Below are 26,410 nucleotides of genomic sequence, written 5' to 3'. Positions count from 1 at the left end.
TCTGTCAAACAGCATCCTCACAACAACCCCATGAGGTAATGATTATTTTCCATCCTATTCTTCAGTTGGGGAAACCAAGTCTTAGTGAGGTTAAGTATGCTTCTCAGGCTCACAGCAAGTAAGTGGTAGAGCAGCCATCAAAACCCAAAGCCCATGCATCTGGCATCACACTCTAGCGTCTCCTGTCTGTACTGCCAGCACTTAGCATTGGGCCTTAAACAGAGGAAAGGCTCTGAATATTTGCAGAACTGACTGAAATAACTTTTTTTTTCTGACTTTGTAAGTGCCTCAAAGACCTTCCAGCTACTCTTTCCTCTAACATGCCTTCTCCTTAAAAATGGCAAGGTGCCCAGTCTTTCCGGACTGTTGGCCAAGACAATCTTCCTTTTGCCATTTAATTACTGTATGTAGTTCCAAGATCTGGCATTCCTCATCACCCAAATTCCCTTTGGATCTTCTTCTTTTCCTGGTCAAATATAGAGATATCTCTCCTGTCCTCATTACAATTCCAGGGCATATTTATAGGTACTATAATTCTTCCTCATGTAAAAATAAAAAGTGGGCAATAAGTTCCGGAAATGTCCTAGACTATTAGAACAACCTCCTTAAAGTTTTAAGTGCTTGCTAATATCTAAAATTGCTACGCTCTTAGGGTTCTGATCATTTTCCTATCCTAGCCATCTTAAAAAGTATATTGGAATTTAATTTTGGGGGCCCTTTGGGAATTTAACTACTTCTCCTTCCCTTTATTCAGTTAAAGGCTGAAAATATCAGCTGGCTCTTATCTGATTCTTTCTCTGTTAACAGTATGTTGAGGAAAGCCCCCTCCCACTCTGCGGGGTTTTTTTAAACCTTTTTTTTTTTTTTTTTTTTTTGGTGTGTGGTGGGGTGGTCATGGTAGACAAATAAAAATAATTCTGAGGTTATCTGAGAGCTGACATTCCATACAATAGCAATAAGAACGTTTTCCAAATTTAAAACTCTGATGGAGGAAGTGGGTTACAATAGGAGCAACCTTTGACCCTGACCAGTCATAATGGTTTCCTGGATTCAGAGATATTATGGGTTGGAGCCAAGGGTTTCAGCAGAGAGAGCACAAGGTGTGTTAAACTTAGAACACAATGTGCGAGTTCCGGGTGGGGCCGTTGGAGGACATCTTTCTTTCTTTCCGGTGGAAACGATTCCTTTACAAACAAGGAACTGGGTCTTTCCCACTGTCCGATCCGTGTCCGTGTATTTGTTCTGCTGCTGATTTTAAAAGGAATTTTGCATGTTTTTGAGATCTCCAGACTCTGAAAGTCTTCCCTCTGGGGACCGTTTCTAAGGATGATTCATCCCCCAAATATTTATTGAGTGATTACTATGTTCCAGGTCCTGTTCTAGATGCTGAAATATAGCAAAATGTAGAAAATCAACCAAAAAGCCCTGTCCTTGGGAAGTTTCATTCTATAGCACAATTCCTCAACCTCAGCACTACTGACATTTTGGGCTGGAGAATTTTTTGTCGTGGGGGCTGTCCTGTGCATTGTGGGATGTGTAGCAGTGTCACTGGCCTCTACCTACTAGATTCCAGTAGAGCAAAAAATTACTCTTTTTGCCCCCAAGATATGTCTGCAGATGCCATTCTATAGGGAGCAAGAATAACTGTTCTAAAGGGAGAACAGTTCTATAGGGACAGAGACAAGACTGTAAACTGTGAACTATTTAATACTAAATAGGTAAATGATAGTCTGTTGATGGTCAATACATATATAGAGTAGGTGAAGGGGAGTTGAGTCTCACTGGTGCGATGGGGATGGGAGATTGTTGTAATTTAAATGGTGTGGTTGGGGAAGTCCTTATTGAGAAGGTGACATCTGACAAAGACTTGAAGGAGGCAACGAAGTAAGCCATTTGGTTATGGAGGAAGAAGATCCCAGAAGGAGACAACAGCCAGTGGAAATACCCTGGGTATGCACTGGGCTGTCAAAACAACCAAGGGAATCAGTATGGAGTGGGGGGAGCTGGAGACAGGGCCCAGAGGGGAGGCAGGAGATAAAGGAAGTGTTCAGACTCTGCAGCATGGAGGCTTTTGTGGCCGTCGTCAAGGCTTAGCTGTTCTCTGGGAGGAAAGGAAACCATTGTTTTATTTTGAACAGAAGTGTGATAGGATCTGCCTTAATGTTTTAACAGGACTACTCTGGTGGCTGCTGCCTTGAGAACAGAATTTATGGGGGCAAGGAGAAAAGCAGGGCCATCACAGGGCCATAACAAGTCAAACGTTGACATCAGGCAACAGAGGGGCCTGGCCAGATGGCTGTAGGCTTCCACACACATCCTTCTCCCCTTCCATAAAGACGCATATACAGGTCAGCTTGTAGCTTCCCCGGTATGGTAGACCATCAAGGGAAATTAAGTGTGAATTTGTCTTATTTTCCTTATTGCCTTTTGTTGTTAGACTCTGTCACAGGTAATGTCCTGATTTTCATTTTAGAAACAAAGTATTTGTAGGTGGAAGATCAGATTCCCAGGTAATTATAATAATTAATAATGCATGATAGAAATAATAAACTAACAAGCACTTATTATATGCCAGATGCTATGCTAAGCTCTTATTATTCATTATCTCATTTAATTCTGTCAACAACCTTATGAAGTAGGTACTCATCATTTCTTCCACAGTCTAGATGAGGAAGCTGAGGGTCAGAATGTTTAAATGATTTCTCCAAACTTTCAGAGCCTCAAGCCTCATTGATTGGTGTGGGAGAGGGATGAACAGCCAGCTGATGTGGAAGGTGGAAGTTTCATGATTGCCAGGGACACCAGCCTCATGTTTGAACCCCCTCCCACCTCTCTACTGAACTTGTCCTAGAGACAGCAGAGAGGGGTGACAGACATGAATGTAAAAACTCCTCTCCCTCAACTCTAAACCTTGTTAGCTGGAACCAGAGATGGTGAGGTGTAGGTGGAAGGCAGTTTAGAACTAATTCCCACCTTTAATGGATGGGGCTGGGGAGCATTGGAATTAATAGCTCAGGTTCTTGAATCCATAGACCCAGGTTCAATCCCAGCTCCACCATTATGGGCTCTGTGATCTAAATCAGTTACTTCACCTCTCTAAGCTTTTATTTCTTCTCCTCTAAGATTGGAATAATAATCATATAGATGCTATTTGGTGCCCTGCCTATAACCCTGTGCCCCCTCTAACCTCTCAAGCCAACTACAGCTTAGATTGACAGTTGCCAAAACACTGACATTTAGTCCTCTGTCTAAGGGCTGTCTGACTGCAGATATGTGCTCAGCCCAGGATGGTCAGAAGTATCAGAGAGTTGATGCCCCCAGAAGCAATGTCAACCAATGAGGAATGGGGTGTGGTAAATAAATACCCCTTATTTATCCACCCCATTTCCTCCCTGGGCCAACTCTGAGGTGTGTTCTCACAGCCCTTCAGGGGCCCATGGCAAGACCAGGCCCCAGTTACCCACCATGGTAACTGCTCAGCAAGGCACCCTTTATATCTGCGCTCCTGCCTTTTATTCCCTCCAAGACTTCCTGGGGTTATCCCCAAATAAACCACTTACACACAAATCCTTATCTCAAGACCTGTTCTGGGGGAGGAAACCAGACCAGGACAAGTAGTGAGTAGTGATCACCTCCTTAAATTGCTGTGATGGTTAAGAGAAAGTACATGTACAGTTGTTAAGTACTTAGCATATTGGCAGAAATATATAGAATAAACACTGGAAGAAATGGTGATGATGATGATAGTAATGAGGAGGAGGGGGGAAGATGGAGGAGGAGGAAGAAGAAGAGAAGGAAGAAGAAGAAGGAGAAGAAGAGGAGGAGGAAGAGGAGGAGAAAAGGAAGAGGAGGAGGAAGAAGAAGGAGGACGAGGAAGAAGGAGGAGGAGGGGAGGAGGAAGAAGAAGGAGGATGAGGAGGAGGGGAAGAGGAGGAGAGGAGGAGAAGAGGAGGAAGAGGGTGATGAAGATGATGACTGTGATGAAACAAAGGCCCAGAATGAATGAAGTCGGTGGCTGATTGTGGGGTAACAGGGTGTGGGGGCCAGGCAGGCAGATCCACAATGGAACCATCTCCTCTCCACATTTTCTCCTGCCCCCTGAATTCATGGAGCTTCCTTTGGTGGCCAGTGCTCTCCAGGAGATACCCTCCCCTCTGCTCCCTTACCCCTCCTGAACAACTGGCAGTCAGTGAGTCAGCTGAGTGCTCACCAAACACCATTCTGTTATAAGACTTGGTGGGAGGGACCAGGAATTTTAAAATCCAGTCCTTGCCTGAGCTATTCCTCCTTCATGTGGAAAGCCAGATCTTCTATCCACGAATGTCCTTCCTCCTATTTTCCTCGTGGACTTTCACCTCGGGTTCTGCCACTGGACAAGTGGGCACAGAGCCTCGGGACAAGTCTGAATGTGTTGTCTCAAGACTGTTATTCAGCTTCATGTGTGAGGTGGTTGATTTCCTGTCTTGCTCATTCACTCCAGAACGCCCTGTTCTTAGATCAAAAGACCTGGAAGTTTCCAAGTCAACAAATGCCATTATATATTTTGAGTGCAGAAAACTTACTGAACTCAATTCTAATGCTCCCTTAGCCACTGATGAAGGGATTCAAGTTAACTTTTTGATTTGAGCAATGTTAACATTTGACTTATGAGCTCTAGAAGATCAGAGCTGAAAGAGACCTCAGTGGTAACCCCTTCCAACCCTCCCTTATTCTATAAGAGGGAAACAAAGGGACAGAGAGGTCACTTTACCAACATGCTACACTGGTAGAGAGTAATATATCCCAGAATAAAACCCGCTTCTCTGGCCTCTCAATTACTTTTCTCACTCTATTGTTACTCACTTCTTGTAGGCCAAGTCATCAAAAATGCACTAGGAGCATCTTTTGGTCAAGGACAAATCTTTTTGTGAACAGTTGCTTTCTTTTTCTCTGCTCTTTCATAAGTCTTGATTTTCATTTATCAGGTTTAAAAAAATCAGAACAACCCTATGCTTTGAAATAACGAAGCTGTAAAGAATTTCTATTTAACCTCAATGTCATGAAAGCATGAAAAGCTACATGTTGAAATGAATGGTAGGTTTTTCATTCTAAGTAAAATGTAATTCATCTAACTGATTTGATTGAATCTATTATACTTTCTGAAGCTTTATTTTTTTTCTGGGTAAAATGGCCAACCCACTGAGCTGTGACAGAAGGAAGAAAAGCCAGAATGAAGAGAAAAGCTAAAGGAAATTTATAGAAAAAAATTAGAGCCTACATATATGAAAACTCTCTACTTTAAAACACTAGAGAAAGCTCACAGAGAACCAAGAAAATTACATTTTTGGCACCCATCTGAACTTCAGAATTATTCATTTGTGTTTGTTTATTTATATCTTACTTTATTCCTCCAGAAAGGAGCTGAAGGAGCAATGTCCTCCTTCAGATAAGATTATTAATACACAGCATTCATTGATCATTAATCATATGCCAGGAATTGCATATGCATTATCGCATCCAACTTGTTTGTCAAAGTAGCTATTGGAGGCAACTATTCTTATCTCCATTTGCAGGAGGTCAAATGGTGCCCCCAACCCCCTGCAAAAAAGATATATCCACCCGGAACCTGTGAATGTTTGCTTATTTTAAAAGAGTCTTTGCAGATGTAATTAAATTAGGGATCTTGAGATGAGATCATTCTGGATTATCTGAACAAGCTCTAAATCCAATGATGAGTGTCTTTATAAGAAGAGAAGACACAGACATGGAGGTGAAGGCCATGCGAAGACAGAGGCAGAGACTGGAGTGATGTGTCTAGAAGCTAAGGAACTCTAGGGGTTGCCAGCGGTCACCAGAAGCTAGGAGAGAGGTGCAAAACAGATCCTCCTTCAGAGCCTCTGGAGCCTCCTCCTCTGGAAAAGCCCCGACTTTCAACTTGATTTAGGACTTTTTTGGCTTCCAGAACTGAAAGAGAACAGATTTCTGTTGTTTTAAGCCACCCAGTTTGTGGCAATTTCTTATAGCAGCCCCAGAAAGTGAATGTACTCTTTTATAGATGAAGGTACCAAGGCCCAGAAAGGTTAAATCACATATCCAAGTGCCATAGCTGGGACCAAATTCCACCAATTTACAGCTGATCCAAACATGAGGTTGGATTTTTAAAAGCAGCATAAAACGCATAAAGAGATGCATGAAAAACCATTCCCCAAATGCTAATGGTAACTATCTTAGGATGCGGAGGTTTTGGGTAACTTACTTTGTTCAGTATTCTTAGAAATACTGCTCATATTTTCTAAAGTAACATTGACTATGTAATTTGAAGAAAAAAATTAAGTCATTTTTTCTGAGAGGCAATCACAATGAGAGTGTTAACTGAAAAAGGCAGCACACAAACTTGTAGACAGTAAGTAATACTACAATTGTGTATAGCAGTCCATTTATTTTTCTAATTTTTTAAATTATACTTTAGGTTCTGGGATACATGTGCAGAACGTGCAGGTTTGTTACATAGGTACACATGTGCCATGGTGGTAATATCCAAAATCTACAAGGAACTTCAACACATTTACAAGAAAAAACAAACAACCCCATCAAAAAGTGGGTGAAGGATATGAACAGACACTTCTCAAAAGAAGACATTTATGCGGCCAACAAACATGAAAAAAAGCTCACCATCACTGGTCATTAGAGAAATACAAATCAAAGCCATGATGAGATACCATCTCATGCCAGTTAGAATGGCGATCATTAAAAAGTCAGGAAACAACAGATGCTGGAGAGGATGTGGAGAAATAGGAACGCTTTTACACTGTTGGTTGCAGTCAAGTTTTACAGCAACATCATGAGGTAGGTATTGATATGGCCCAATTTTACAGGTGAAGAGCCCACATCTCAGAATATACTGAGGACACGCTGGAGCCATTGCATTTAAAGTCTCTATTAAAGAGAAAATGCCCTTATTCTCTCCATCTCTTTAGACCTTTCTTGAGTCTGACTTATAAGCCATATTGCTAGAAGCAAACATTTTTGTTCTCTCTCAGACTAATCAATGTTCAGGTCTGCAAGTTATGGAGGAAGAGAGGCATGAATCTTCTTACCTCTTCCATTCTCAACCAATTTATTCTATTTTTAATTTTTATTTTTGGAGACAGGGTCTCACTGTGTCATCAAGGCTGGAGTGCAGTGGCACAATCATAGCTCACTGCAGCCTTGGCCTCCCAGGCTCAAGTGATCTCACCTCAGCCTCCCGAGTGAGTAGCTGGGACCACAGGTGTGTGCTAGCATACCTGGCTAATATTTTGTATTTTTTTGTAGAGATGAGGTCTCACTCTGTTGCCCAGGCTGGTCTCAAATCCTGGGCTCAGGTGATTCACTCACCTTGGCCTCCCAAAGTGTTGGGGTTACAGGTGCAAGCCACCATGCCTGGCCCACCTGGGGAAACTTTTAAAAGATCACCTGGGGAATATTTTTAAAAATGTAAGTTCTGGTGACAGAAGGACAAATATGACATGATTCTACTTATAAGAGGTATTTAAAATATTCTGACTTACAGAATTCGTTCTTTCTACGCGGAAAATCAGATAGTTCCCTTAGTATTAAAGACTTTAATCTGGGTGTAAAGAGAAAAGACAAAGACATGAGATCCTAATTCCACTCTTTTAAAAAAAACCTCGAAGAAGCTTTGTTCTCTTAAGCTTACACGAGAATGTGGATTTTTTCATTGGCAAGTCTAAACCTATTGTCAGCAATTTAAATCTACAGTCTGGGTCTTAGTGGCTTGGAACTGGCTTCTATCTGGTCCATAATTTAGCTAAGGATATAGAGAGAAATGCAAGCAAAATCTCTTGCTTTTGGGGACTCAAGATGTCTTGGCTCAGTCACATTGGACATTTTGAGGATTCTGGCAGACAAAATACAGAGAAAATTGGACTTGAAGGGCGTCTTAGCCATAACCAACACTCTCTGCAACCTCACGACATGCCCAGCTCTGTGACACACACTTTATAACCGTCATCTCATGGAGGCCTTTAACAAATCTAAGATGTAAGCACCATCATCTTCAATTTCCAGACAAGGGAGCTGAGTCTTAGTAGGTCATGGAGCTTGGGAGCTTGGATGTGGCAGACCCTCGGACTGAATCAGAAATATCTGTTGTCCTCAGGCCCTTGGCCCCTCTGTGGGACTGCCCCTCCAGCCCTGGACATTCAGAGCTGTGTGTGAGTGGATGCATTAGAATCGCACAGATTGAATGTCCTTTAAAATGCAGGAGGTGTGAAGTTTGGAATATGCATTATGTCTAAAGGCCTCAGCGATGTTATGGGGAAAATAATTTGAGGGAAAGCAGCAAAAGGTAATGGAATTAATAATCAATGTCAAGAATGGGTGCTTTCTGGACCCAGGCTGCTTCTCACAATGGTGTGATCCTCAAAAAGTACTTTCCCCTCTCTGGGTCTCAGTTTCCCCTGCACACATGTGGGACTAGTTCTAGAATCACCTGAAGAATCTTTTAAAAAATATTAAGTTCCGGTCACAGAAGGACAAATATGGCATGATTCCACTTACAAGAGGTATTTAAAATAATCCAACTTACAGAAGCAGAAATAGAAGGGTGGTTGTCACAGGATGGGAGGAGGGGGAAGTGGAGAGTTTGTTCAATGAGTATAAAGTTGCAGTTACGCAAGATGAGTAAGTTCTAGGGATATGCTGTACAATAGTTAATGTACAGTTAATGATATGATGTGCACTTAAAAATTTGTTTTAAGAGGTTGAATTTCATGTTAAGTCTTCTTAACACACACACACATGCACAAACACATACTGCAAAGGGATACAAGGACACCATTGGAGGTGATAAATATACTTATTACCTTGATTGTGGTGATGACATCATGGCTGTATACACATGTCCAAACCCATCAGATTGTATACATTAAGTATGTGCAGTTTTTTTCTGTATCAATTATACTTCAATAAAGCTGTAAAAATATATAAGTTCTAAGATTTATCTTTGACTTTTAAATCCTGATCTTCTAGGAGACTCTTATCCATTAATTACTTAAACAAATATTTATTTATATTTACTAAGCATGTAGCTGCTGGAGATGAAATGGCCTGCTTGTGAGTGTTCCATCAGGAAATAGAATAGTGCACTCCAATTAGGGTAATTTGAGGAGTTTTCACAGAGGGACTAATACAAAGGTGTGGGCGGGATATAGGGGAAGCAGCAAGGATAGCAACAGTGGGGCTTTTACCGTCTCTGGACCTGATGGAGTCGGGGGGAATGTTCACCTGACCCTGGAAGGACAGAGTTATGGAGATGCCTCCTTAGAAGAACCATGACCTTCACCGAGAGCAGTTTCTTAACCTTGGCACTGTTGACATTTGGGCTTGGGTAATTGTTGTGGGGGCTGTCCTGTACATTGTAGTCCCTGTCCTGTAACCAACAGATACCAGCAGCACCATCACCCCCAGTTGTGGCAACCAAATATTTCTCCAGACATTGCCAAATGTCCCTTGCGGGGCAACATTACACTTGATTGAGAACCACTGACCTGGAGATGCAGTCAGCTTGTGGGGATGCCACAGAGAAGGATGTGTCACCCCATTCTCCCACTCCTCTTTCCTTTCAATTTCCTGCTGAGATTTCCCATTGGCCAAGACTCACCCCGAAGTCAGAAGTTCAGGGAGTGCACTGCTGCACTCTAGCAAGGCAGCTCTGAAGCTGAGAGCAGGTGGAGAGTGGTGAACAACAGGCGCAATGGGGTGAATGGAGACACAGCACGGGCAGTGAACACAATCAATAAGACCCCTGTGCTTAGGCACTCACAGTCTATTGGTGATAGGGGTGGATGGAGAGGCAGAGTACACACAAGAAAATTTCTGAGCATGATTAGGAGTATAAAAACAAGCCGAAAACCCAAATGATGCAGCAATTAATGGCAGAGTTCTCTGTGGAGGAGAGAGTTAAGCTAAGACCTGAATGATAGGACGGGGCTAGCCTCTTAAATATCAGGGGGTGGGGACATGATATTCCAAGCCAAGGGAATAGCATGTGCAAAGGCTCTAGACTCTGCATTTATTTATTTATTTGTTTTTACTTGTTTCATTGATTTGTTTTACTTTACTGGGGTATGATTTATATATATAGCAAGATATGCAAATATCAAATGTACCAGTTGTTGAATTTTTGCAAATGTGTTCACTCCTGTAACTATCATTCAGATTCAGATATAGGTCATTCCCACCTCCCCAGAAAGTTTCCTTGTGCTCCAAATCCTGCCCCTCTGTCCTACTATTGTCCTGACTTTTATTACCAGGCAAGATCAGCTTTGTCTGTCTTTGAATTTCATAGAAATGGAATCACACAGCATGTACTTTCCTAAGCCTAGATTCTTTCATTCAACATCAGATCCATGGGATTCATTCATGTTGTTACACAGATCAGCAGTGCCTGCTTCTTTTTTCTTGCTGAATAATATTCCATTGCATGGACGTGCCACTGTGTGTTTGTATCCATTCTCCTGTGGGGGGATATTTGGTCTGTTTCCAGTTTTGAGCTCTTATGAACTAAGTCACTGTGAGCATTTGTATACAAGTATTTTTGTGGGCATATGCATTCATTTCTCATGAGATGTAATTTCAGGGTCACAGGGTAGAAGTCTTTTTAACCTTATTAGAAATTATCAGTTTTCCATTATATATATATACACACACATATATATACACATACATATATATATACATACACATATATACACATATATATAATACATATATATAAAATACATATATATGTATATATTTTTTGAGACAGAGTCTTGCTCTGTCACCTAGGCTGGAGTGCAGTGGTGTGATCTGGGCTCACTGCAGCCTGTGCCTCCTGAGTTCAAGCGGTTCTCTTGCCTCAGCCTCCTGAGCAGCTGGGATTACAGGCACCTGTCACCATGCCCAACTAATTTTTGTACTTTCTGTAGAGACACGGTTTCACCATGTTGGCCAGGCTGGTCTCGAACTCCTAACCTCAGGTGATCCACCCAGCTAGGCCTCCCAAAGTGCTGGGATTATAGGCATGAGCCACCATGGCGCCCAGCCCCATTAGATTTTGATGTGAAGTTAGGCTGGGAAATCACCAGATGAGAGGGTTTTCCTAAAGCCCATTCTGGCTTGGGAATTCTAACATTCCATAGTGATTTTTCCTCCATTGATCCTAGTCTAACTAAACACAGGTCTATTTATTGATCCATCACAGGGTCATCCCTCGCCTTTATCCCCAGGTACCATTCAGCCCCAGGTAAACTGTGCCCGAGGGCCAGCCACATGTGCTGGGTACCTGGAAAAACTGCCTGTAGCGCCAGCCTCCCACCTCCTCCTGGGTGCATGTGTATTAAATCGTGGTATAGTGGCTAATTCTTTGCAGCTTGCAGGTTGCTGCCTCCATTTCAGCAGACACGAGGGCGCCCTGACACAGTTAAAGATCACAAGCTTTGATAACCTGCCCTTCTGATTTATAACAGTCGGGGTCTCCACATTCACCTAATGAGGGGAACTCGGAGTGTCAACCTGTTTATTAAATGCTCAGAACCATGTGTGAGCCGGAATGAGGTAAGAAGTCAATCATATTTTCATTTATTCTGCGTGTCCCCTGCCTGTTCATTCAGGCCTCTCTCCCCGAGACTGTCAGTCTGCCAAACTATTTCTTTTCATCTCCAAAGGGGAGGACTTTAGGATAGATCATTTGCAGAGACGGTCGGGGTCCACAATGTTTGCACTTCCCTACTGATTTCATAGGTGTTTGGAAGTTAATGATACTCAACACCTCATGATTCTTTCCTATATGTCAAACAAAGACATGAAAGGGAAAGTGGCCAGAGGGGAGAGGTAGGTAGGGGGTGCAGGGTGGGGAAGACAGAAACGTATCCATAGCTTTCCCTTTCCTTCACCCTAGGCCTGGAGAGATTGGAGAGATTGTGAGTCTTAATGCAAATGGAAGATGGATTAATCTTCCTGAAGTTGTCGGCATCTAATGAAGTCTTAATTCATCTTCTTTAATTCCCTTTAAAATAAAAAAAAGCATAAATCAAAATAACAAATGGCCCGGCTGCTTTAATCTCCACTTGTTCTCACCCCCTTCCCCTTTGCAACTTGGTCACTGTCATTTTCTTAATCTCTGGAGATTCCGCCCTGATTCCTTTCAAGTGGCATCAGCTCTGTCTCTTAGGTTTGGTATTCTGGAGTTGGCATAAATATTTCTGCCTGTTTGAGGCCCCTGGCTGGATTCTGACCTTGGACATGACTGGGGGAGGGGGCAGAGCAGGCCACACTCTGAAGTTTACTTGGTAAGATGAGCTCTAGGTGGCCCAGTCTGAAGACCTGGGAAGAGTTCTGCAACCTCACATCTGTGACTAAAGCAGGCTTTACTGGAACTGCTGGTCTATATTGTTCTATTCTTGGATTCTTGGTGCTTTCTTGTGATACATGATGGTACATGTAATGATACTTATTCATTAAGTGATACATTGTTTCATTTAAAATAACCTCAGGAGTAAGCTTGTGAAGAATTCAAACTTCATATTCTTTTTTCTTTCACTGAAATTGCCTTTTTTTTTTTTTACTTCTAAAGCATACATACACACATTTTCTTGAGATTAGAAACTCTTTTTAAAATTTTAAAAATTTTTTACTTCTAAAGTATACATACACACATTTTCTTGAGATTAGAAACTCTGTTTTGTCCTTTGAGGGTATATTTATATAAGAAACAAAGCAGTAAAGGCCTGCATGGTAAAGCAAGGGCATTTGCGCTAGAGGACCAACATTCAGGCTCCAATAACGTCATCCATTAACAGTTTATACACCAACCCCATTATCACTGGATTCTCATTACATCTGTGTGGATCAAGCAGGACAACTCATTTCTTGCTTCATATTCTTTTTCAGTTCTTGTATCTTGTATCTTGCCCTGTGCCCAGCTTAAAACAGATGCTACATAAATATTTGTTGAATGAGTGAACAAATGGATGGATGAATAAACAGAGTTGCCTGATTGTGCATTGTGCAATCTTTAACTTAAATTTGGTCTCTGTTTGTTTTTGTGTAATGGTTATAGAGATATCCTGGCTTGGGGCAACGTGGAATAGCTGAACACCTGTGGTAGATTGGTGTTAATGTGGCCCTGCCTGTTTTCTCTGTCTGTCTTAGTAACAGAACCTCCATCTTTAGCTGGACAATAGATAGCTGGAATGAAGACATTTCCCAGACTTCCTTCCAGCAAAGTGTGGCCATGTTCTGCCCACTGAAATTTAAGTGGTGGTGTTGTATGGTTAATGTCCTTAAAAAGACAGCTGGAACAAACCCCTTGCTTCTTCTCTTGCTGCTCCATATGGTTGGAATGCAGACATGAGGGCTAGAGCCCAACAGCTATTTTAGACTATGAGGCAGGAAGTTAAGAAAGGTGGCACAACAAGAAAAAAAGCAGCTTGGGTCTCCTGATTATTAAACTGCCATATCATGCTGGATTGCTTGTCTCTGGACTTACTTTAGGAGACACAGACATGAACTTCTAGTTTTCTTAAACTAATATTTTGGGTGTTTCATCACATGCAACCAAACCTAATTCTAAGGAATTCAGTATGGTTTTTAAAGACCTGGAGTTTTGCTTATGGGTACTATCAGCTAATACAGGTTAAAACACCTTAGAGATAAAACACCCAGAAGGTAGGGTCCATAGAACAAATGGCCCACACTCTGCTGATTAAGAAACAAAAATTGTGATTGACTTCAAAGAAATTAGTTTGGACCTTTAATGGAACAGACATGGTTGACATTCTATTTTCTGAAATAAACATATTAAAGAATAAAAAAAATGCTATAAGCCTGAGACCAACCTCGGGATGATAGATAAACTTATAGATCAATTTATAGAGGACATGTCAGGATGGGAATAAGCATGAAGCACCCAGCACAGTACTCAGTGCGATGCAGTCACGTGGCAAATGTCAGTTTTCCGTATTCCAGTCTCTTGCATCTTCAGCATCTGTAGCTTTGCAGAGAGCAGAAACCAGGGCCAGCAGGGCTTATCCCATAACTCTAAGGAGTTTGGATGCTATACTGAAGCCAGTAGAGAGGGAGTTAAAATTTCATTTCAGATGTGCCTATTAGAAGAATCCCCTGGATTTTCTCTGTGGGGAAAAAGATTTGCTAGTGAGTAGGAGGCAAGAGGCCAGGAAACTAGTGATGCAGATGTTGCAGGGATCTAGGAGGAAGAGGATAGTGCCTTGGACTTGGGCAGTGGATGTGAGGAGGCAGAGGAGAATTTGGATGAGAGGGACATAGAGGTGGAGTCCACAGCATCGAGATGGTGATTATTTGGAGGTTGACCTAGAAGGGCGCTGGAGCAGTTAAGTGGGAGAGGAAATCATGGTGAGCCCCCAGGTTTTCAACTTGAACTGGATCTGTTGGTGGCATGTTCTCTGTGACAGGGTGGGAGAGAAGTATTTGAGTGAGAAGTATTTGGGTGAGACAAAGCTGTGTGTCAGACTCTTTGAGTCTGATGTGCCTTGTGAAACATCCAAAGTAAAGAAGCACAGTAGACAGTTGGCCCTATGGGCGAGAGCCTTAAGAGAGGCCTGCACCCAGCTTGTAGGATAGATCAGAAAGCGAGGCTGACATAACAGTTATGAAGGAAATCTCCGAACTGCTTTCCACAGTGGCTGAGCTAATTTGCATTCCCACCAACGGTGCATAAGCATTCCCTTTTCTCTGCAGCCTGGCCAACATTTGTTCTTTGACTTTTGAATACTAGCCATTCTGACTGGTGTGAGACGGTATTTCATTGTGGTTTTGATTTGTATTTCCCTGATGATGAGTGATATTGAGCACTTTTTCGTATGTTTGTTGGCCATTTATATGTGTTATTGTGAGAAGTGTCTGCATGTTTTGTGCCCACATTTTAATGGGGTTATTTGGTTTTTGTTTGTTAAATTATTTAAGTTTCTTATAGATTCTTGATATTAGAGTTTTGTTGGATGCATAGTTCATGAATATTTTCTCCCATTCTCTAGGTTGTCTGTTTTTTCTGTTGATAGTTTTGACCCGGCAATCCCATTACTGGGTATATATACAAAAGAAAATAAATCATTCTACCAAAAAGACCTGCACTCATATGTTCATTGCAGCACTATTCACAATAACAAAACCAGAATCAACCAAGGTGCCCATCAACAGTGGACTGGATAAAGAAAACATGGTATATATGCAACATGGAATACTATGCAGCCATGAAAAAGAATGAAATCGTGTTCTTTGCAGCAATGTGGATACAGCTGGAGGCCATTATCCTAAGTGAATTAACATAGGAACAGAAAACCAAAGACAGCATTTTCTCACTTATAAATGGGACCTAAACACTGAGTACTCATGGACATAAAGATGGTAACAATAGACACCGGGCACTACTAGAGGTGGGAGGGAGGGAGGAGGCAAGGGTTGAAAAACCAACTGTTGGGTACTGTGCTTTGCTACTTGGGTGATGGGATCATTTGTATCCTAAACCTCAGCATCATGCAATATACCCAGGTAACAAACCTGCACATGTACCCACTGCATCTAAAGTAAAAGTTAAAATTATTAAAAACAAAACAAAAAACTTGGGGGGGGGGTGTGGATATATACAGTCTTTAATTAATTTTTTTTTTTTTTTTGAGACAGAGTCTCACTCTGTTGCCCAGGCTGGAGTGCAGTGGCTCGATCTCAGTTCAATGCAACCTTCACCTCCTGGGTTCAAGTGATTCCCCTGCCTCAGCCTCCTGGATAGCTAGAACAACAGGCGTGTGCCACCATGCCCAGCTAATTTTTGTATTCTTAGTAGAGACGGGGTTTTACCATGTTGGCCAGGCCAGGATTGTCTCAAACTCCTGACCTCAAGCCTCGGCCTCCCAAAGTGCTGGGATTGCAGGCATGCGCCACCATGCCCAGGCCTACCCTTTAATTAAAAAAAAAAAAAAATCCACAATGCAAAAACAAAGTGCCTATTGACCTGAGAGTCTTTCAGGAAGAAGACAGAAATGGAAGAAAATGTCAGTTATTTTCTTGATGTGGGAGGTACGCTTTTTCATTCATTCATTCTGACAACACGTATTTATTACATTCTCACTATGTTCTAGGCACTATGTGTTGAGCATATGACAATGAACACAAGAGACAAAAAATTCCTGCCTTCATGGAGCTCACAGGGCAGTGGACACTGGGAAAACCGAATGAGACATCTCAGTCTTGAGAGGATTTCTATGCTTGATGGCTCTAATTTAATCTATAGGGCTTGCAAAGGCTCAAGAGGGTTGCTCATTCAGTCTGGGAAGATCTGCAGCCTCAGAGAGGGCTTTTATTAAGCTAATAAACATTTTTAAGACCCCTCCCCTATGCTTTAGGCACCATCTTGGACCAATGATGCTTGAGCATAGGGAGAAAATATTAGAGCTTCTATGTATATATTTAATTCAATCTTTAAACATTTCTACTATTGAGTATGTTTCATCCTGTGTGAGGAGTATTACTAAGTAGTGCATGTATATAATTTAAACATACAATTAAAATATACACAATTTAAAAATGTAATTAAAATATATATCCACATACTGTTTTAGGAGGGAGAGTAAGCAAAAATATTTTGCTCACAGGGATGAATGATCAAGAAACTTTTTATAACTGTGGTTGGGGGTCAGCGAATATTTTCTTTTATTATTATTATTATTATTATTATTATTATTATTATTATTATACTTAAGGCCGGATAGTAAATACTTTAGGCTCTGTCAGCCATGAGGTCTTTGTTGCAACTACTTAACTCCATCATTGTAGTATGGAAGCAGTCATAGACAATATGTAAATGAATGAACATGCTTGTGTTCCAATAAAACTTTACAGCACAAACTGGCCCTGGATTGGATTGGCCTGCTGGTTATAGTTTGCCAACCCCTGGTCTAAGTAATTACATGAGTAGTAACAATAGAGTGTAATAAATAAGGCAAGTAAAGAGTGCTATGAAGCATAGATCATTTCTGTTAGGAGGGTGGTCAGAGAGGAGTCACCTGAGGGAGTGATATTTACTGAGAACTGGGAGGTGAGCCAGTGCTACCTTGACAAAAAGGAGTTGTAGGAGTGTTCCAGTCCTACGGGAGTGAGAACACATACCCCAAAGGAGCTGGACGTGGCCTATGCCTTGAACTGTAAGGTGCTGGGCGCTCCAACAGCAAATGGGGACAGATAGCCCTGGACTTAGGAGCCATTTGCAAATACCAGGCCTGATGGAGACATGATGCTTAGAAGTCATGAGGCCAGGAGTGCTTCTCTGGAACTGCATTTGCCTCCCAAGACAGAATCCAGGGGAGGACATCAATGAAGAGAGAAGCGGGATGGGTGGCTTCTGGCTGGGGCTGTTTTCTCCTTCTCATCAACACCCTCCAGCAGGATGCAGCCACAGCAGCTGCTGGCCAGCTCACTGCTGGACAGTAGGGCTGTCAGTTTCTGATGGATCAAGAGTGCCGGAGGGATGCTGTCATTCTTGGTCTCTAGGGTTGAGCTCCTATGCGCCTCCTTACCAGAGGCCCCTGATGAGAGGGCAGGTCACTTCCATCAGTCCTGAGGCCTCCCTCTATTTTTATGATGGAAATAAACCCTGCCCTTGGATTGCTATCTTTTTGCAACTTGCAGGCAGAATAAAATGTAGAATCTGTCTATCCCCCTTTTCCTTAGCAACTCCTCCACCCCAACTGTTTTATACAGTCAAGATTTTATTCAGAAATGTAGAAACCTCTGGCTGAGTTTTTTCACTGTATTTTAACCTATTCGTTCTAGGCCTGGGGGAGAAGAGAAATGAATTGTTATTTTAGAAACCCATGTCTAGCCTCCCTCCTCTGTCAGTCAGGAGCCTGTAGCTCTCTCTGATAATAATAGTATCTTGTGTATGTGTGGTGTGGTTAATAGCAAGTTTGCTTTCAATCCACTTCCTGTACTTTCCATGCTGTGCTGTTCTTTATCACAGGGAGCTATGTTTCCCAGTCTCCTGTAAAGGGTTGGCCAATGGGAGAAGTGCTGGAGGGTGGGGGATAGGGAGAAGTCAGGGCATTTCTACCCCTCTCTCTGCTTCTGGGGGCATTACCAGCAGCTGCTGTCTTTTCTCCCTGTGTTTATCTCCTTTCGGATAGCCCTTTCTTCCCTTATCTCAACTGTGTGGGCAGCCCCTACCAGGGCTGTAGCACCCACTGGATACCCCAGCTCCTGGCTCTGGCAAAATCACCTTCTCTTGTTGTCCCTCCAGCCAAAGGGGAATCCTTATTCTCCATCCTTTGGTTTCCTTCAGCCTTTCCTGTTGGCTTATCAGCCCTTCCATGATCTAGGTAGTCAACTCCCTGTATTAAACTCCTTCTGTTCAAAAGACCTTTAGTGATTTCTCTATTCTCCCTGGATCCTGAAAATTACATGCAGCATCTCACAGTTAAAAGGTGCTGTTGTTCCATGATCTCATTTTAATTTTGACATGCATGACCTCAGAGGACATCAAGCCTGGTGCTATTACACCATTACACCATGATATAAAAAAGATAAATGGTTAAATATATTGCCTGAAGCCCTGGATTAAGGCAGCATGACTCCATGGAGCCAGGCACACCTTTGCATCCCAGCTTCATTGTGTCTGTAAGGCCTCTAGTAACTCATTTCATTTTTCAGCTTTTTAAATCTCTAAATTGGTAATAAGAATACAGGTATCATGATGTTGTTCTATCAGACACTTAGCACACTGTCTGATATGTAGTAGAAGCTCAGCAAATATTGGTAATTACAGTAGAACCTCTCTTTACCATCCTCTGTTCAATGAAGAGTTGGCCTTCTCTATCCCCTCTGCAAGTAGACTAACTGCTGTGCAAAGCTTATTGCACGCTTTGGTAAATATGCACCTCAAGAGGAAAGAGAAGTGTGCAGGTTCTCTTTCATCTTGAGGTGCGTATTTACCAAACGTCAACCTTCTTGGTTCCCAGACCTCTTTGACTCAATTATACTTGTTCTAAAAAAATAACCTAATGACATTTAAGCTCCAGGACCTCACATGAACTGACCCCTCCCAGGGCCCTGGGAGGAGCTCTAGCAATGTGCTCAGGAGGTCATGTTATGTTAAAAAATTTTCTTTTAATTAATAAACTTTATTTGTAGAGTAGTTTTACGTTCCCAAAAATGTTGATAGGAAGATACAGATATCCCACAACCCTGTCCCCACACTTGCACAGCCTTTCTTATCATCAACATGCTCCCCACACATGTTACAATTGAGGGACATACATGGACACATCATCACCTGAGTCCATAGTTTACATTAGGGTGTCAGTCTTGATGTTGTCATCCTATAGGTTTGCACAGATGTATGATGACATGTATCCACCATTGTAGTATCACACAGAATAGTTTCCCTACTCTAAAAACATTTCCTGTGCTCTGCCTGTTCATTCCTCTCTCCCTCTTAACCCCTGGAAACAACCGATCTTTTACTGTTTCCATAGTTTTGCTTTGTCCAGAGTGTCATATAGTCGGATTCATGCAGTACATAGCCTTTGCAGATTGGCTTCTTTCATATAGTAACATGCATTTAAGTTTCCACCATGTCTTTTCATGGCTGGATAACTCATTTCTTTTAGGGCTGAATCATATTCCACTGTCTGGATATACTATAGATTATCCACTTACCTACTGAAGGTAAGTGGTTACTTCCAAGTCTGGGCAGTTATGAATAAAGCTGCCTACACATCCATGTCCAGGCTTTTGTGTGGATATAAGTTGTCAATACATTTGGGTAAATATCAAGGAGTATGATTTTTGGATTTTATGGTAAGAGTATGTTTAGCTTTTTTAAGAAACTGCCAAACTGTCTTGCAAAGTGGCTGCACCATTTTGCATTCTCACCAGCAATGAATATGAGTTCTTATTGCTCCACATCCTCGTCAGCATTTGGTGTTGTCCGTGTTTTGGATTTTGACCATTCTAATAGGTGTTTTGTGGTATCCCATTGTTGTTTTATTTGCAGTTCCCTAATGACCTAGGATGTGAAACATCTTTTCACTTGCTTACTTGGCATCTGTGTGTCTTCTTTGGCAAGGTGTCTCTTTAGGTCTTTTCCCCATTTTTTTAAATCAGGTTGTTCATTTTCTTGTGGTTGAGTTTTAAGAGTTCTTCATATATTTTGGATAAAGTCCATTATCAGATATATCTCATGATGTTTTTCAACATTTTTCAAAATAAAATATTTAAATTGTATTGGTTAAAACAAGTCTCTTTGCATTCCTCCCAAATGTCTGGGGCCACTAGAATGACTGTTAAAATAAAGCTGATTTAGGAATATATTTAGACTGGCTTTAATGCGATATATTTGTGTGAATTAAAGTCATTTCTTTGTGCAGTTGTTTCTAGCCATCCCAATGTAGGAATGGGTTCTAGAACTGTTCCTCCTCTTACTATGCCTACTTACTGATGTTGTGATACTCAGGTGCAGAGTCAGAGAACATGTCACAATATGAATATGTTTTGTGTTGCCTGGCACCAGAGGTATGTGGGTTGTGGAAGAGAAACTCTGAACTGTAGAGAATCAGAATGCTCAGTCATCAAACCCACAAAACTGTAAGAGGATTCCTTTAGAATGACAACTCGTCAAAATAGAAGTTCCTTTCTAGCAGAAATTTGCTTGTAAGTACAGCTTTACCAGGTATACATACCCCATATTCCTTTTTTTATTGAATGGGAATCATGTAAAATAGAATTTATCCATTTCTGTGGGTCCTGGGCACACCCTGAAGCAGTATACCAATGGTGATTATTTCTGTACATGAAGTTGCGTATTTTATGTATTTCAAATATAAAAACCATTTAATCAACTGTGCTTAAGAAAATACTGAATTATTCTACTCTTCCTGTAGAATGTATTATTCCCAAATTACTGTGTAAAGAAGAAATGATTAAGAGTCTGTAGCCAGAAGTTGTAGGATAAAAAATATTTTAGTGGTGTGAGAGGTAGTTAATTAATACAAATATTATGATCACCTTCTGGATTTTGTGATATTTGTAGTATTTTCATGTTTAAAAAAGCAGAAACTTGTGATTCATATTGTGACATTTTCTCATTCTAAATAAGCATCTATGTTTTGTAGGTAAATTTATGTTTATAATTTTCTTTTTTTTCCTCTGAAAGAGCTTCCAAATTGTATAAGCTTCAGATCCCACAAAGCTGAATCTACCCCTTCTTGTTATTGTAATTATGCAATTTAATAAAATTTCATATCAGCCAATGAAAATGAGTGTGTAAAAGAAGAATTGCATTCATAAAAATGAAACTGCATGCTTTAGAACGCCCAATTGGATTTGAGTTGCTAAAAACACTTGCCATTGAATTAGGTGTGGATGAGAAAATTTAAGAGATGAGGAGGAAAATGATCTTGATGATTTGGAAGGATTCTTCCTTTAGACTGCTTTGCAGCAACTTTTGTTTCCTACCTCAAAAAAGCCAAAACCGCAGCCTGCAGGTGAAGCTGTGGATGTGTTTTATAAAAATGGCAAAGTAGAACCCGGATATTTGCTAACTGACTTCTCGACAGAGTGCTTCAGACAGCCTCTACCGATAGTTGAGAAATGGCAGCTGAGAGAAAACCTAATTGTCTTTTTTTTTTTTTTTTCTGGTCCACCTACTCCACTTTACAGATGGGAAAACTGAGGCCCAGAGAAGCAAAGTGTATTTCCTAGGGTCACACAGCCTAGGTCTCCAGACTGGATGTCCTTCTTTCTGCAGGTCTGGGTCAGTATCTGTAGCTGGGAGAGGCGGTGGGGGAAGGGAGAGGGCAGGCAGGAATTGGAGCCTTCCACATGCCTAACTTGTTAGGGCGTTCATGATGTCACAATTAGGAAGGAAATGGAGAGGGGAGGCCTCGGAAACCCCCCAAAGGCCCTCTGATTGCGCCCTGCGGAATCCCTCCAGGAATTACTCCCTGGTCCTCTCACAGTGGCTGTGGTCTCAGCCTGAGATAAAAGGCCAGAAGCAGGAAGGTAAATCTGATGGAGCTTCCTCCACCATCCCCACCCCTTCCCCAAATGTGCCCTCCTTCTCTTGGATATACAACACAGTTAAAAAAAAAAAAAAAAGAAAAAAAATCTGAGCCCAGTTGCCATGGCAACCACCTGTGGTCTGGGTTTCTGGAATCACTAGCCAGCGAAGAATCAGGAAAATACAGTATGATTCTACTGGAAGACCCGCCACAATCCTGCTGTGTGGTGTCCTTGTTCATGAACAGCCTTACCCATCGGTGAGGACAGACAGGCAAGGGTGGGGGCTATTGCACTCAGGACAGTGGAGGTCGGGGCTGGGTGAGGTATCCCAGGTGGAGAGAACAGGGATCCTCGGGTTGACTGAATGCTCTGCTGCTCCCCTGTGAAGCTGACAGGCCCAGGTTCAAAGATCAGAGGGCAGCTGGCAGTCACCTCCTTCCTTCCTCCCCTGGGCGTGAGGAGGCTGAACTGGTCTGCCTGGAAACCCACTGTTTCCTTTCTGGAGGCTCCGGCTGCAGCTACCTATAGGGATTGGCATTCCAGCTGTCTCCCATAAAACCTCCAGCTCTTTAAAATCCCCAGTTAAAGCCTAAGCTCCAATAAAAGTTGCCAGGCTGGGTTTGGGGCAAGGTATCCGCATCTTCTACACAGGCCGAGGATGCTGTAATGAGCCTGACTAGGAGGCACAGTCCTGGGCTGCTTCCCCTCATTGTCTGTAACTAAGCACACATGAAAGCGAGCTGTAGATTAGCCGAGACCCAGAGCATCTGAAAGACACACTCAAAGAGCCACATCAACCACTAAAGGAGTTGCCAAGAGGAGGCAGGGAGGGCGTCTTTAATGGTCCATTTGCAAGAGATGAAATTTCTAAGGCTTAGAAACTTGGATACAGCATGGCGAAGTTGCATTTTAAAGGTTTCAGGAGAAAAGAGAAAAAGTTAGAGGGTTAGAGGTGACTGTCTTCTGGCAGCTTCCCTGAAATGCATGCCAATTAGACAGAATTCCTTGCACGTCGTGAGTCCTCCAAAAAATATTTGTGAAATAAATAAGTGAATGGGATATGGTTTTTCCTATCACACACTTCTGGAGCCAGTGGCCTGATTTGTTATATAATATGTCCTGCAGAGGGCAAGGCCAGGCAGGCACCACAATGGAAAGGGGCAATTCAGAGCAGAGACTCCCTTTCTGTGCTTCCAAACTTCTATTTTGCAGACTGTCCTATAGAGCAAGTCTTAAAAACTCCAAGACCTACACGGGCAAGATGGGGGTGTGTGATGGTTAATATTGAGTGTCAACTTGATTGGACTGAAGGATGCAAAGTATTTTTCCTGGGTGTGTCTCTGAGGGTGTTGCCAAAGGAGATTAACATTTGAATTAGTGGACTGGGAAAGGCAGACCCACCCTCAATCTGGGTGGGCACCATCTAATCAGCTGCCAGTGTGGCCAGAATAAAAAGCAGGCAGAAGAATGTGGAAAGACTAGACTGGTTTAGTCTTCTGGCCTGCATCTTTCTCCCATGCTGGATGCTTCCTGCCCTCGAACATCAGACTCCGAGTTCTTCAGCTTTGGGACTCGGACTGGCTTCCTTGATCCTCAGCTTGCAGATGGCCTATTGTGGGACCTTACCTTGTGATCGTGTGAGTTAATACTCCTTAATAAACTCCTCTTTATATATACATCTGTCCTATTAGTTCTGTCCCTCTAGAGAACCCTAACATAGGGTGATACATGAATAAGGTAGGCAGCGATGGGGGTGGAGGGGGCTCTGGTGGTCTGGAGAGCCCGTATCCCATCCACCAAAGGGGACAGCCACTGCCCAGCTCCAGCCAGTTGTGGCTATACAAGGTTTTAGGTCCAGTCACCAGATCGTCCGGCTTTTCAAGAACCTCCAGAACTCCAAATTTTTTTAAGGTGATATCTCCTACTTTAAAAATTATAGCAATGAATTCAAATTGCTAAAAGCACCATGTGGCCAAACCACATTCTGTTGAAGAACACATCTGGACCATGGGATGCCAGTTAGTGAACTTGGATTTAATGTTTTGCTTCATCCACTCGTCACTATTTGTTGGGGGAGATGCTCAACCTGAGTCACGAAAGGTGAGCCGGATTTGGCCAAGTAGGCAAAGGCTCGACGAGACTAAGTAGGCAAACGCTGGACAAGACCGGCATTCCAGGCAGGGGAGCACAACAGGTGCAAAGGTGTGGAGAGATGCAAAAGCACCACGCCCACGGGGAAATAGAAGGTCACTGGGCATGGCTGACACCAAAGGGGCAGTTTGGATGGATCTTGGGGTGGGGACAGGTAGGCGATACGACATGAGCCATTGGAAGGGTGACAACTCTAGTTTTGATGGGCATAGGGTCGTTGCTTGTAAAGAAACCACTTTACACTGAGCTGTCAATCAAGTTGATTTGACTTACGACCACCGTGAAGATTTGGAGTCTATCTAAAACATGAAGCTGGACAGGGCTTCCTTAACACCTGGTTCTGGAGCCAGATGATCAAGGTTCAAATCCTGGCTCCCTAACTGTAGCCATGTGACCTAAACTACTTATCCTCTCTGTGCCTCAGTTTCCTTAGTAAAATGGAGATAATCACAGATTGGATTTGAGGATTGAGGGAGTTAACTCATCTAACAAACATGGGATGATGCTTGGTGCACGGTGAGCAATTGACAATTCCCCCTTCTTTCTATTATAACCTCTCTTTTCCTTCTTACCTAAAGGGGCCAGACACATTCCTTGCTGTCTGGCCCTGGCCTTGGCAAAACACGGTCTGTGAATCAGAGGTTTAAAAGCTCTTTTCCTGAGCTGAAGATTCTGATTTCGTGGCTGTGCACACAGGAAATAAAACCCCGTTCTTCTAAGTGGACTGGGAGAAGTATGAAATTACGACTAAGTTGGTTTGGAGCTTTTGTGTGGGTCTTTCACGAAGAGACAACCATTAATCATGCACAATTACCCTGACCTTGGGTGAACTACAGTCTCTTGAACACAGAAGATTTCACTCCCGGCGGGTGTGGAGATGCAAAGATGTCTGCTTACCATCAGAGCACAGAGAACCAGCGCCTAAATGGCCCAAGGTCCAGCACGCTTGTTTCTTAGCCTTAGAGACTCCCCTCTTTCCAAGATCTGCTTTCACACTCAAATGCCCTTTCCAAGGAAGCATGCATAGTTAGGGAAAATAAAAGGCTTTGGAGAATAGGATCAAATCTGTCTCTGCTATTTAATAGTTGTGTGTATGACTTTGGACAGGGGCTGTATCCTCTCTTGTCACCTCAGTGTTGCATGTTTAAATTGGGGTGAATAATGCCTATCTCATCAGTTCATTATGTGGACTAAGAGACATTAAAAGGGGTGCTGATGTGAACATCCCATTGTGCAGTGGAGCTCAAAGCCTCAGAGAATTGAAGGCACTTGTGCATGGTTGGACCCCAAGTTATCTGGGGTCTGACACATAGTGTTTGCCCAACAGATGATTGCCTCAGCCTAAGAACTGGCCTCCCTAGGTGGCCCCACCCCAGCCAGGAACTGGGGGAGAAGCCTTCAGACTCCATCATGATAGAGGATGAGATTTTGATGTATATAGGTTTCCTCCCTCCTCTCTCCCTCTCTCATATTCTTTCCTTCCCTCCCCTCCCTCCTCCCCTCCCCCTCCTCTTCCTCTTCCCCTCCCCCCTCCCCCCTCCCCCTTCCCTCCCTCCTCCCCTCCCCCTTTCCCTTCCCTTCCTTCCCCTCCCCTTTCTCCCCTTTCTTGCCTCCCTTTCTCACTTCTTCCCTTTCTCCTTCTTTCTCCCTCCTTTCCTTCTTCCTCCATCTCTTCCTTTCTCTTTCCTTTCCACTCTTCTTTCCATTCTTAAACTCTTAATGAGCACGTGGGACAAGCCAGGCATTGGGCCTAAACACAGGATAATGTAGGACTGTATCTTCCTTCATGTCTCGCCACAGGATGACATACGCAGCAGGCATTTAATATGTTGCCTGTCTTTTGTGCTGTGGAAATGATCATTAAACTGATTAATCCATCAAAACTCTTTCATGTTTCAACTTTCATTTTTTAAAAAACAAGACCAAACCAAGCATTTCCCCTCAGCTAAAATATTTTACACGTGGCCACAGTAGAAAATTGGTCCCTGCAGAAAAGTACTGAGAAGAATATAATAATTATTAATACTACTGCCACTAAATTTAACCACTGTCCACATGATGCTGAATTTCCTTCCAGTCTCTTTCTTCTGCAAGACGTATATTTATTTTGTGTAAGTAAACTCATTCTGAGTGTATATATTTGTGCATTCTGCTTTCATAACAAGTGTATTTTTCTATTAAGCAAGTGCAGTGTCTCCATTAGTCA

At 42.5% G+C, this 26,410-nt stretch overlaps 2 long non-coding RNA genes across 4 annotated transcripts in view; both read left to right on the top strand.

Annotated features, from left to right (window-relative positions):
* The window catches only part of LOC105370003 (uncharacterized), a 389,555-nt gene that overhangs the window by 101,368 nt on the left and 261,777 nt on the right, over nucleotides 1-26,410 (top strand). The window lies entirely within an intron of this gene.
* LOC105370002 (uncharacterized) overlaps nucleotides 20,562-26,410 on the top strand; it is a 59,593-nt gene continuing 53,744 nt past the window's right edge. For both annotated transcript variants that reach the window (NR_188487.1, NR_188486.1), the window contains exons 1-2: nucleotides 20,562-20,703; nucleotides 21,712-21,805. This is a non-coding gene — a long non-coding RNA (uncharacterized LOC105370002). The remainder of the gene's footprint in view (nucleotides 20,704-21,711; nucleotides 21,806-26,410) is intronic.

The sequence above is a fragment of the Homo sapiens genome, chromosome 12, assembly GCF_000001405.40.
Source record: "Homo sapiens chromosome 12, GRCh38.p14 Primary Assembly".
Classification (NCBI taxonomy): Eukaryota; Metazoa; Chordata; class Mammalia; order Primates; family Hominidae; genus Homo; species Homo sapiens.
This window is presented reverse-complemented; position numbering and strand designations above follow the sequence as displayed.